This window comes from Homo sapiens, chromosome X, assembly GCF_000001405.40.
Source record: "Homo sapiens chromosome X, GRCh38.p14 Primary Assembly".
Classification (NCBI taxonomy): domain Eukaryota; kingdom Metazoa; phylum Chordata; class Mammalia; order Primates; family Hominidae; genus Homo; species Homo sapiens.
Window position 1 is genome coordinate 77,856,876 of NC_000023.11, and position 13,426 is coordinate 77,870,301.

A 13,426-nucleotide genomic window follows, 5' to 3' on the forward strand; every position below is an offset into this window, starting at 1 on the left:
AATGGAAAGGAGAGAAAAACATGTTAAAGTATAAAATTTTTTTACTAATTATATGGGTCAAAATAAAATCTGAAATGAAAGCAATCAAAATTATTGTGGTTACTTTCGGAAAAATGATCCTTTTTATGTTATCCCAATCAAACTAGTCTATAATATAACCTAAAATAGGATAGAATAGGTACAATATTCTATTTAACCACAACATAACATCTTTTAGATTAAGAAGGATTTGCCAAGTACAACTAGATAATCCATGGACTTAAGGTCGAAAGAGTGGTTTCCATGCTGAATTCAATAGGGTAATAGAGAGTGTTCTGTAATTTCACTCATTCATCAAGATGATTCTGTTTAATGCTACTTATGAAGTGACTGCCAAACTAGTACCACCTCAGTGATATGGGGACAAGACTAATTAGGGCCTCCCAGTAAGATTCAAAGGGGATAATGGCCAAGAAACAGTCTACATAGTTGGGAAACTTACATTGACATCAGTTCTGTCGGCGATCCACCGGGCAATCTGCTCAGCTGAAAAACCCCGCACCTGTAACTCATATGTATCACCCCGTTTGGGTTTCCCTTTTGCAGGAAAGTTGATGAAAGTTGGAGCTGAATTCATGTTTAGCTGAATAAAAACGAGCCATGAAAATATACATTATCAGGAAAATAATCTTAATTGCAGTTAACATCTTGAAATTTAGGCATTTTACAAAGATGAGGAGGCCTGGGTTTAGGTAGGTTAAGTGATTTGGTTTGCCCAAGGAAAGTGGTAAGTGGTGGAGCAGGCTTTAAAAGCAAAGCTGCCTGTGACCTTAAGTATTACATACTACTCACCAAATACACATTCCTCGCTAAGAAACCTGTATTTTACTCCACTAGAATGGAAACTTTGCCATACCACAGATATTTTAATCTGTTCAGAGATTATGCAAAATGAATACATTTATGAGCACTAAAATAATCTTATGTAGCTGAGTAAGCTCCAAATAGAGTATATTCTCAATTTGGAGGAACCAAGATAATAAAATAATGCTCTAAAACAGCAGTGAAAAGCAATACAAAATGGTGGCTATATGCAGAAATAGTCTATTCTAAGAAGGTCCATAAATGTTTACTGATGAGCACCACATTTCTCTATTCTCCATCATGACATCATGATATATTTGAGAAGACAACACCGGAAATACTAAGGTAAAGAAACCATAACCATCTCATCTGCATTATATCTTTTTTTATTTTTTTGAGATGGAGTCTCGCTCTGTCACCCAGACTGGTGACAATCTTATAGAGATTGGCTTGCACAAATCAATTTTTATTTATTTATTTGTTTATTTTTGAGATGGAGTCTCACTCTGTTGCCTAGGCTGAAGCACAGTGGCAGGATCTCGGTTCACTGCAACCTCCGCCTCCCAGGTTCAAGTGATTCTCCTGCCTCAGCCTCCCAAGGAGCTGGGATTACAGGTATGTGCCACCACACCCAGCTAATTTTTGTATTTTTAGTAGAGACAGGGGTTCACCATGTTGGCCAGGCTGGTCTTGAACTCCTGACTGCAAATGATCCCCCCGCCTCAGCCTCCCAAAGTGCTGGGTTTACAGGCGTGAGCCACCGTGCCTGGCCTTACAATTATAATTTTAAAACCTCAGCCAATAAAATAATCCAACTCCCATGCTTTGATTCTTTAGTTAAAATCCTTCTAACAGTAAGTTTTCAAGCTTTCCCATAAGGTGAGAGCATGTACTGACTGTTGCTTATCATTATTTTGGTCTCTTTGGCTGTATAATGTGGTAAATTAATGAATTAATAGATTACTCCTTTGGTTACCAATGTCCATAGATTTATATGCCTTGGTCAGTAGGCACAAAATCCCTAGAGGTAGATAAATTCTGGCTATCCTGTTAAAATTCAATTTCTGTGATTGCAAAGCTAGGAACCAAATCTTATACAATGTTCAGTCTACCAAATGCTGCCCAAATTTTAGGCCAAACTCTTTATTCAATATTTGTTTAGTTACACCACCTCTACATTTTTGAAAATGTGTATAAAAAATAAAAACTGGCCGGGTGCGGTGGCTCACACTTGTAATCCCAGCACTTTGGGAGGCCGAGGTGGGCAGATAATGAGGTCAGGAGTTCAAGACCAGCCTGGCCAACACAGTGAAACCCTGTCTCTACTAAAAATACAAAAATTAGCTGGGCGTGACGGTGGGCACCTGTAATCCCAGCTACTCAGGAGGCTGAGGCAGGAGAATCGCTTGAACCCGGGAGGCGGAGGTTGCAGTGAGCCGAGATTGTGCCACTGTACTCCAGCCTGGGTGACAGAGCTAGACTCCGTCTCTAAATAAATAAATAAAAAATAAAAAATAAGTAACATATAAATACACTTCTCTTGTAAAAAATATTTTTAAAAACATTACATGGTTATAAGGACCAATTCTAGTACATTCTGGCAGCCACAGTTACCATTTACAGATATTTTTGAATTTATTCATATATATGTTTATACCACCAGAAAACATATAATATTGCTGTTTTAACATAAATGGTATCATATTAATGGTATTTTCCTGGTTGTCTTCCTTTTTAGCAACTAAAAATAATGTTGCAGTGAACATCCTTGCACATATCTCCCTGTACCCATGTGAAAGTGATTCTCTAGAAATGGGATTGTTAGGTCATGGGATAGAAATATTTTTTAATTAAAATGGATATAGTGCCCAGGCACGGTGGCTCACGCCTGTAATCCCAGCACTTTGGAAAGCCGAGGCAGGTGGATCACTTGAGGTCAGGAGCTCGAGACCAGCTTGGCCAACATGGTAAAACCCCATCTCTACTAAAAATACAAAAATTAGCTGGGTGTGGTGGTGGGTGCCTGTAATCCCAGTTACTCAGGAGGCTGAGGCACAAGAATTACTTGAACCTGGGAGGCGGAGGTTGCAGTGAGCTGAGATTGCACCACTGCATTTCAGCCTGGGTGACACAGTGAGACTCTGTCTTTAAAAAAAAAAAAATGGATATAGCCAAATTGTCTTCCAAAGTGGCTGTGCCAAAATATACTTCTACTTAACAATGCAGTAATGTATCCATTTCCCTACATCCTTGCCAAAAGTTGATGTGATGGGTGAAGACTGTACTTTATCATTATCATACTATTAATTTGTGTTTCCCTGTTTACTAATAAAACATCTTTAAAACAAATTAGTTATCTGAAAACATCTTTGTTTTTTTTTCTTGAGAAGGAGTCTCACTCTGTTGTCCAGGCTGGAGTGCGTTGGCGCAATCTTGGCCCACACAATCTCCGCTTCCTGGGTTCAAGCGATCCTCCTGTCTTACCCTCTCAAGTAGCTGGGATAACAGGGATGCGCCATGACATCCAGCTACTTTGTTTTTGTATTTTCAGTAGAGACAAGGTTTCGCCATGTTGGCCAAGGTGGTCTCGAACTCATGACCTCAAGTGATCCGCCTGCCTCAGCCTCCCAAAGTGCTGGCATTACAGGCGTGAGTCACCATGCCCGGCCTGAAAACATCTTGTAGCCCAACGATACAATCAACAGAGTAGAAAGAAAACCTGTGAAATGGGAGGAATTATCTGTAAATCATTTATCTAATAAGGAGTTAATATTCAGAATAGTCTGGGCATGGTGGCTTATGCCTGTAATCCCAGCACTTTGGGAGGCCAAGACAGGTGTATCACTTGAGGCCAGGAGTTTGAGACCACTCTGGCCAACATGGCGAAACCCTGTCTCTACTAAAAATACAAAAATTAGCCAGGTGTGGTGGCGCATGCCTATAATCCCAGCTATTTGGGTGGCTGAGACACGAGAATTGCTTGAACCTGGGAGGCAGAGGTTGCAGTGATCCAGGACTGCGCCACTGCGCTCCAGCCTGGGCGACAGAGTGAGACTCTGTCTCAAGAAACAAACAAACAAAAACAAAATAAAAACAACAACAAAAATTTGGAATATATAAAGACCTCCTACAACTCAACAACAACAAAAAACTTGATTTAAAAAATGGGCAACACAGGTGGGTGCAGTGGCTCATGCCTGTAATCCTAGCACGTTGGGAGGCCAAGGCAGGTGGATCACCTGAGGTCGGGAGTCCGCAACCAGCCTGACCAACATGGAGAAACCCCGCCCCTACTAAAAATATGAAAAAAATTAGCTGGGCCTGGTGACGCATGCCTGTAATCCCAGCTACTCGGGAGGCTGAGGCAGGAGAATCGCTTGAACCCGGGAAACGGAGGTTGTGGTGAGCCGAGATCGTGCCATTGTACTCCAGTCTGGGCAACAAGAGTGAAACTCTATCTCAAAAAAAAAAAAGGCAACACACACACACAATGGGCAAAGAACTTGACATTTCTCCAAAGAAGATATACAAATGGCCAACAAAACACATGAAAAAATGTTCAATATTACTATCATTATGGAAATAAAAAACAAAACCACAATGAGATACCACCTCACACTCATAAAGATGGCTATTATCCAAAACAAACAAACAAACAAACAAAAAACCCCAGAAAACAAGAAGTGGTTGCGAGCATGTGGAGAAACTGGAAACCCTGTGCACCATTGGTGGGAAGTAAAATGGTGAATCTGCTATGGAAAACAGCATGGAGGTTCCCCCAAAAGATTAAAAATAGAATTACCATATGATCTAGCAATTCTACTTCTAAGTATATAACCAAAAGAACTGAAAGCAGGGTCTTGAAGAGATTATTTGAACACTCGTGTTCATAGCAGTATTATTCACAATAGCCAAAAGCTGGAAGCAACCTAAGTATCCACTGACAGATGTATGGGTAAACAAAATAAGGTGTATACATACAATGCAATATTATTCAGCTTTGAAAAGGAAGGAAGTTCTGACACATGCTATAACATGGATGAACATTGAGGACATGATGCTAAGTGAAATAAGCCAGTCACAAGAACACAAATACTATATAATTCCACTTATATTAGGTACCTAGAGTAGTCAAATTCATAGAGACAGAAAGTAGAATGGTGGTTGTCAGGAACTGGGGGAGTGGGGAACTGAAGTTGTTTAATGGCTATAAAGTTTCAGTTTTGGAAGATGAAAGAATTCTGGAGATTGGTTGTACAACAATGTGAATGTATCTAGCACTACTGACCTGTACATTTAAAAAATGGTAAACATAATAAATTTTATATTATATATATTTACAAAACAACCCCACCAAAACCCCTTGTAGACTCTGAAATTCCTTGGAGGTTAATGAACCAAAATAAGATACACTATTTTTTGGTAGGTATCAGTTTTCACATACGCTTAGCTTTTGCATACTGTGGCATATGACACTGTTACTTAGAGAAAGATTTGAATCTCTTCCACAGATGGACACACTACCATCCTTATACCTTTGGCTCTAAAATCTAGCTCTAAAATAGAGTAATGGAAATTAATATTAAAAACTATTCAAGGTACGAAAGTGTACGTAACAAAAACAAAAATAGACAAATGGGACTATATTAAGCTAAAAAGCTTCTGCAAAGCAAAGGAAACAACAAAGTGAAGAGACAATCTGTTGAATGGGAGAAAATATTTACAAACTATTCATTCAACAAGGAACTAATGTCCAGAATATACAAAAAATTCAAACAACTCTAAAAAGAAAATAAAACAAAAACAAAAACAAAAAAAATTCAAATCACTCAACAGTAAAAAAGCAAATAATCCCATTAAAAAGTGGACAAAGGACATGAATAGACATTTCTCAAAAGAAGACACACATGGCCAACAGGTGTATGAAAAAATACTCAACATCACTCATCATCAGGGAAACGCAAATCAAATCTACAGTGAGATATCATCTTCTCCCAGTTAGAATGGCCATTATTATTATTATTAGAAAAGCTCCTTTTCTGCTCATCTGTCTGTTGCCTCCTTGCAATACATTTTCCTACTTTCTCTAATAAATCTGCCTTTCTTTACCTTAAACGAACAAACAAACAAAAACAGATGCAAGGATATGGAGAAAAGGGAACTCACGGCCAGGCACGGTGGCTCATTCCTATAATCCCAACACTTTGGGAGGCCGAGGCGGGTGGATCACCTGAGGTCAGGAGTTCGAGATCAGCCTGGCCAACATGGTGAAACCCTGTCTCTACTAAAAATACAAAAATTAGCTGGGTGTGGTGATGTGCGCCTGTAATCCCAGCTGCTCAGGATACTGAGGCAGGAGAATCGCTTGAACCCAGGAAGCGGAGGTTGCAGTGAGCCGAAATCTGCACTCCAGCCTGGGCAACAGAGTGAGACTCCATCTCAAAAAAAAAGGGAACTCATACACTGTTGGTGGGAAATTAAATTAGTATAGCCACTATGAAAAACAGTATAAGGCCAGGTGTGGTGGCTCACGCCTGTAATCCCAGTACTTTGGGAGGCCGAGGTGGGCGGATCACGAGGTCAGGAGATCGAGACCATCATGGCTAACACGGTGAAGCCCCATCTCTACTAAAAAATACAACAAAAATTAGCCGGGCGTGGTGGTGTGCACCTGTAGTCCCAGCTACTCGGGAGGCTGAGGCAGGAGAATGGCGTGAACCCGGGAGGCGGAGCTTGTAGTGAGCCGAGATCACACCACTGCACTCCAGCACTCCAGAGGGAGACTCCGTCTCAAAAAAAAAAAAAAAGAAAAACAGTATAAAGATTTCCCAAGAAACTAAAAATAGAACTAGCATTTGATCCAGCAATGCCACTACTGGGTATGTATCCATAGGAAAGGAAATCAGTATATCAAAGGGATACCTGCACCCCCATGTTTACTGCAGCACAATAGCAAAGTTATGGAATCAACCTAAGCATCCATCAACAGACGAACAGATCAAGAAAATGTGGTATTAGGCCAGGCGCAGTGGCTTGCGCCTGTAATCCTACCACTTTGGGAGGCTGCGGCAGGTGGATCAGTTGAGCTCAGGAGTTGGAGGGAGACCAGCCTGGCCAACATGGTGAAACCCCATCTCTACTAAAAATACAAAAAAATTAGCCAGGCGTGGTGGCGCACACCTGTAATCCCAGCTACTCGAGACGCTGAGGCAGGAGAATGGCTTGAACCTGGGAGGTTGCAGTAAGCCAAGATTGTGCCACTGCACTCTAGCCTGGGCGACAGAGAAAGACTCCATCTCAAAGAAAAAAAAAATGTGGTGTGTATACACAATGGAATACTACTCCACCATAAAAAAGAATGAAATCATGTTACTTGCAGCAATATGGATGGAACTGGAAGTTATTATGTGAAATAAGCCAGGCACAGAAAGACAAATATGGCATGTTCTCATATGTGGGAGCTAAAAAAATTGAACTCAGGGAGGTACAGAGTAGAATGGCAGATACCAGAGGCTGGGAAGAGTGTATGTGTGTGTGTTGTGGTGGGCGGGGTGGGGGGGAGGGGTGCGGGAGCGGGCAATGAAGAGAGGTCAGTTAATGGGTACACTCATACAGTTAGAAGGAGTAAGATCTAATGTTCCATAGCAGAGTAGCGTGACTATAATTAACAAAAATGTATTACATATTTCAAAACAGCTAGAAGAGAGGACTTGAAATGTTCCCAACATATAGAAATGATAAATACTCAAGGTGATGGATACTCCAACTATCCTGACTTGATCATTCTATGAATCTAACAAAATATCACATGTACCCCATAAATATGTACAAATATTATGTTATCAGTAAAAAAACTAAGGTAGAAAAAAATGGGTTTTCTATTTTTACAAATCACTAACAGAAGTTATGTGTTACCTTGTTAAAATAAATGGAATTAAAAATTGTAATTTCCAAAAATAACTGCAGCCTAAATAGTAGAGAATTAAAAAGCAATTTTTTTTTTTGAGACAAAGTCTAGCTCTGTCACCCAGGCTGGAGTGCAGCGGCTCACTACAACCTCCTGGCTCACTACAACCTCCACCTCCTGGGTTCAAGCGATTCTCCTGTCTCAGCCTCCCAAGTAGCTGGGATTACAGGTGCCCGACACCACACCTGGCTAATTTTTGTATTTTTAGTAGAGATGGGATTTCACCATGTTGGCCAGGCTGGTGTCGAACTCCTGACCTGAAGTGATCCCCACGCCTTGGCCTCCCAAAGTGCTGGGATTACAGGTGTGAGCCACCATGCCTGGCCTCAATTTCTTAAACTCCAGAAATTGTTTCCTTTAGTCTAATAAATCCTAAATGCACTAACCTTTTAGGTTACAACATTTTTATAAATGCACTGATTTTGATTTGTGGAGATGGCTAAGTGAGACTGGAATATGAATAGCACAATGAATGATATACTGTAAAATGGAAACATTAAGCCATTTTTTTCAACATTTACCGAATACCCGTTATGTGCTTAGCACTGATAGCTACAGGATATGGCTCTGCCATTAACTAAGTAGTAACTATATTCTTTTATTTATTTATTTATTTATTTTTGAGATGGAGTCTCGCTCTGTCGCCCAGGCTGGAGTGCAGTGGCGCGATCTCAGATCACTACAAGCTCCGCCTCCCGGGTTCAAGCCATTCTCCTGCCTCAGCCTCCCGAGTAGCTGGGACTACAGGCGCACACCACCATGCCCGTCTAATTTTTGTTGTTTTTTTTTTGTAGAGACAGGGTTTCACCGTGTTAGCCAGGATGGTCTCGATATCCTGACCTCGTGATCTGCCTGCCTCGGCCTCCCAAAGTGCTGGGATTACAGGCGTGAGCCAACCGCACCTGGCTGTAACTATATTCTAAGGGAGACTGTCAAACAACTACAGAGCTAACTCTACTGTAAGACAAAATGTGGATAAATGTATAACAGAAATTTAAGGCAAGTGATATAACAATACAAGAAAAGGAGTGACTCACTTTTTATCTGGAAAAGTTGAGAAAGCTTACAGGGAGTATCTGAAACAAGGCTTAAAATGTAAGCAGAATTTTGAGAGTGGAGAGAAAGCAGACAGGGAAGAAAATTGTTGTAACCCAACAATCAACAGTGCTGACATACGAGAGTGCATCAGGCCAGGCGTGGTGTCTCACGCCTGTAATCCCAGCACTTTGGGAGGCCAAGGCGGGCAGATCACCCGAGGTCAGGGGTTTGAGACCAGCCTGGCCAACATGGCGAAACCCCTGTCTCTACTAAAAATTAAAAAAAATTAGCCAGGTGTGGTGGCGCGTGCCTGTAATCCCAGATACTCTGGAGGCTGAGGCACGAGAATCGCTTGAGCAGAGGTTGGCAGTGAGCCGAGATCACGCCACCGCACTCCAGCCTGGGTGACAGCAAGACTCCACCTCAATTAAAAAAAAAAAAAGAGTGCATCAAAGAATATGATTATGGGAAAGGTGTGACTGGAGTAAAGAGCACATGAAATTAGGACTAAGGAATTCTGGCTTCAGTCTATACACTACTCCTTTCAAAAGTGTGTTCTATGGAATCTAGCCAAATGCTCCATTAAGTGGTCCAATAATATGAGAAATTCTGTGTATTAGAGCCCCCATTGGAAAGTATAACACATATCAGCATCAGCATGTTAACATCTCTGATCTCTCAAAAGCTGTGTTGGGAGACAATTCTTCATGAGTTTCTCATGTTTCTGCACATCTTGTGGACAAGGGCCCTAACTGCCTTTGTTCTGGACAATCTTCTCAAGGATATTTGTATATCTTTGGAAGATAGTTGAAATGGCCTTCGCAAAATTATGACTGAGACAGTGAAAGAGATCTAACTTAACTGACTCCGACTTGGTTCTAACCTCCAAGCTGTCCTTGTTCATTCCTGGCCATAGGCTGAACTAACTTTAGGAGAAACTTAGTTTATAGTTTAAACAAAGACTGTAACAGCCCTTTCCCAAAGCAGACCTCCTTCTTGCCTGAGAACTAGATTGCCTTTGTAGGACTAATATTAGCCACAAGATGAAAAATTATGGTTTAGGAGTCATGTAGCTAGAGGCTACAAGATTCTGACCCTCCCTAAACTGCTCCTAATATCATCGCTTGAGATATTTTGCAGACTCTGCACTTGATGGATCAGCTGACACCACCCAGATCAATAAACTGGCTCATCTGATCTTGTGGCCCCCTCCCAGGAACTGACTCAGCACATGAAGACACCTTTAACTCCCTATGATTTAATCTCTGAGCAATCAGCACTCCTGGCTCACTGGCTTCCCCCCACCCACGAAGCTATCCTTAAAAACTCTGCACCCCGAATGCTCGGGGAGACTGACTTGAGTAATAATAAAACTCCAGTCTCCCACAAAGCTGGCTGTGCATGAAATACTTTCTCTATTGCAATTCCTCTGTCTTGATGAATTGGATCTGTTTAGGCAGCAGCAAAGTGAACCCCTTGGGCGGTTACACAGTCTCCCTCCACAGCAAAGGGGAGGCACACTTACTATCCATTACAGAAAATGTGGGTTCCCAGAGCTTGGTGTTCCTCTCCCATAATGCAGCCCATTGGCCCTCTTTGTTATTGTTGTTTTCTTAAGAGTTGGGGTCTGGCTCTGCTGCTCAGGCTAGAGTGCAGAGGCACGATCACAGCTCACTGCAGCCTCAAACTGATCTCAAGCAATCCTCCTGATCCAGCCTTCCGAGTAGCTGACCACTGGCCCTCTTTGGATTGCCCTATGGGAAATGGGGTTTGGGGAACCTATGACATTTTGGCTACTTGTTGTGAGTAGTAAAGTCCTTTAACTTGAGCCAGGCATGGTGGCACAAGCCTGTAATCCCAGCTACTCAGAAGGTTAAGGTGCAAGGATTACTTGAGCCCAGGAGTTCAAGACTAGCCAGGGCAACATAGCAAGACCCAATCTCAAAAACAAACAGCAAAAAGTCCTTTGCTGGACTCTGACTCAGGAGTGTCATATTTTCTGCCAGCATCCATGAAACTGTGGCAGGTTAACTTGTTAGCTTGCAAGTAGGGTAAGAACTTAGATCCTTCCCAGCTTTTGAACCCTGAAGTAAAAAGAAAACTTAATTTTGTTTAAACCAGGGTTTCCCAAGTTTATTTTTTTCCAAGAATACTTATTAATACCATGTAGAAAAAACTCTGGGAAATGTTATAGCAGGCAATATGGACAGAGCGCTAAATGGAAGGTAAGTGGACCAGTTAAAAGGTTACTGCATTAGCTTGAATGAGAGATGAATGTGAGCCTTGGAATGTAAAGGGGGTATGGCTATGACACACGTTGTACAAGAAGATGAAGATGACAAAGAAGTGTCATTAATGATACAGAACATAAGATGAGGCTTGGGTGAAAGTGGAAGAGAAAACAGTTTAATTTGGGATATAATAAATTTTTAGATTGGGAAGTCATTCATATGAAGATGTATAGCAAGGCATTATATCCAGCTTTTTCCTTTTATGTTTGATACAATTGAGTAAAATATGTTCAAATATATGAATTAGACACATTTATAAACAAAGACAAAATTGAATCTATGTCCTTAAGTATTTATATGCAAGGGGAAAGAACTAGTAGAGATGCTGAAGCTAAAAATGGACCAGGTGTGGTGGCTCACGCCTGTAATCCCAGCACTTTGGGAGGCTGAGGTGGGTGGATCATCTGAGGTCAGGAGTTTGAGACCAGCCTGGCCAATACGGTGAAACCCCATCTGTACTCAAAATACAAAAAGTAGCCAGGCGTGGTGGTGGGCACCTGTAATTCCAGCTATTCAGGAGGCTGAGGCAGAAGAATCACTTGAATCCAGGAGGCAGAGGTTGCAGTGAGCCGAGATCAAGCCACTGCACTCTAGTCTGGGCAACAGAGCGAGACTCCATCTCAAAAAACCTGAAACTAAAAAGAAAAATTAAAAAATTAACCAGGCGTGGTGGCAAGTGCCTGTAATCCCAGCTACTTGGGAGGCTGAGGCAGGAAAATTGCTTGAACCCAAAAGGCAGAGGCTGCCAGTGAGCCAAGATTGTGCCATTGCACTCCAGCCTGGGCAACAGAGCGGGACTCTTGTCTCAAAAACAAAAAATAGTTGTGAGAGGTCATGATTGACAGAGCAGGTGGGTATGTGATCCAGGGCCCAGGAAAAAGGTTCAGTTTCAAACAACAAAAGATCTACTTTTCTACTAAGACTAGAGGTAAGGGGACAAAAGAAATCAACTCAAGATGGACCAGAAACTTAAATCTAAGACCTGAAACCATAAAAATTCTAGAAGATAACATTGTAAAAACTCTTTTTTTGAGACTGAGTCTCACTCTATCACCCAGGCTGGCAATCTCGGCTCACTGGAACCTCCGCTTCCTGGGTTCAAGTGATTCTCATGCCTCAGCATCCCGAGTAGTTGGGATTACGGGCGCCCGCCACCACACCCGGATAATTTTTGTATTTTAGTAGAGATGGAGTTTCACCATGTTGGCCAGGCTGGTATTAAACTCTTGACCTCGAGTGATCTGACCACCTTGGCCTCCCAAAGTGCTGGGATTACAGGCATGATCCACCATGCCCAGCTGAAAAACTCTTCCAGACATTGGCTTAGGCAAAGAATTCATGGCTAAGACCCCAAAAGCAAATGCAACAAGAACAAAAATAAATAAATGGGACCTAATTTAACTAAAAAGCTTCTGCACAGCAAAAGGAATAATCTGCAGAGTAAACCAACAACCCACAGAGTGGGAGAAAATATTTGCAAACTGTGCATCTGACAAAGGACTAATATCCAGAATCTACAAAGTACTCAAACAAATCAGCAAGAGGAAAACAAACAATCCCATCAAAAAATGGGTAAAGGACAAGAATAGACATTTCTCAAAAGAAGATATACAAATGGCCAACATCACTAATTATCAGGGAAATCAAAACCACAATGAAATACTACTTTACACCCGCAAGAATGGTCATAATTAAAGCAAAAAAAAAAACACAAAAAACAAAACAAAAAAAAACAAAGATGTGGTGTGGATGTAGTGAAAAGGGAACACTTTTAACACTGCTGGTGGGAATGTAAACTAGTACAACCACTATGGAAAACAGTATGGAAATTCCTTAAAGAACTCAAAGTAGAACTACTATTTGACCCAGCAATCCCACTACTGGGTATCTACCCAAAGGAAAAGAAGTCATTATATGAAAAAGACACATACACATGCATATTTATAGCAGCACAATTCACAATTGCAAAGATATGGAACCAACCTAAGTGTCCATCAGCCAATGAGTGGATAAAGAAAATGTGGTACATATAAATCATGGAATACTACTCAGTCATAAGAAGGAATGAAATAATGTATTTTGCAGCAATTTGGATGGAGCGGGAGGTCATTATTCTAAGTGAAGTAACTTAGGAACGGAAAACCAAATATCGTTATGTTCTCACTTATGAGTAGGAGTTAAACTATGAGGATGCAAAGGCATAAGATTGATATAATGGACGTTGGGAACTTTGGGGGAAAAAGGGTCAGAGGGGGATGAAGGATTAAAGACTACGTATTTGGGTACA

General features: G+C 41.3%; 1 protein-coding gene across 2 annotated transcripts in view; it reads right to left on the bottom strand.

Moving 5' to 3' along the window:
- MAGT1 (magnesium transporter 1) overlaps positions 1-13,426 on the bottom strand; it is a 69,822-nt gene that overhangs the window by 31,129 nt on the left and 25,267 nt on the right. For both annotated transcript variants that reach the window (NM_001367916.1, NM_032121.5), the window contains exon 4: positions 482-622. In NM_001367916.1, the coding sequence (NP_001354845.1) occupies positions 482-622 (141 nt within the window). The remainder of the gene's footprint in view (positions 1-481; positions 623-13,426) is intronic.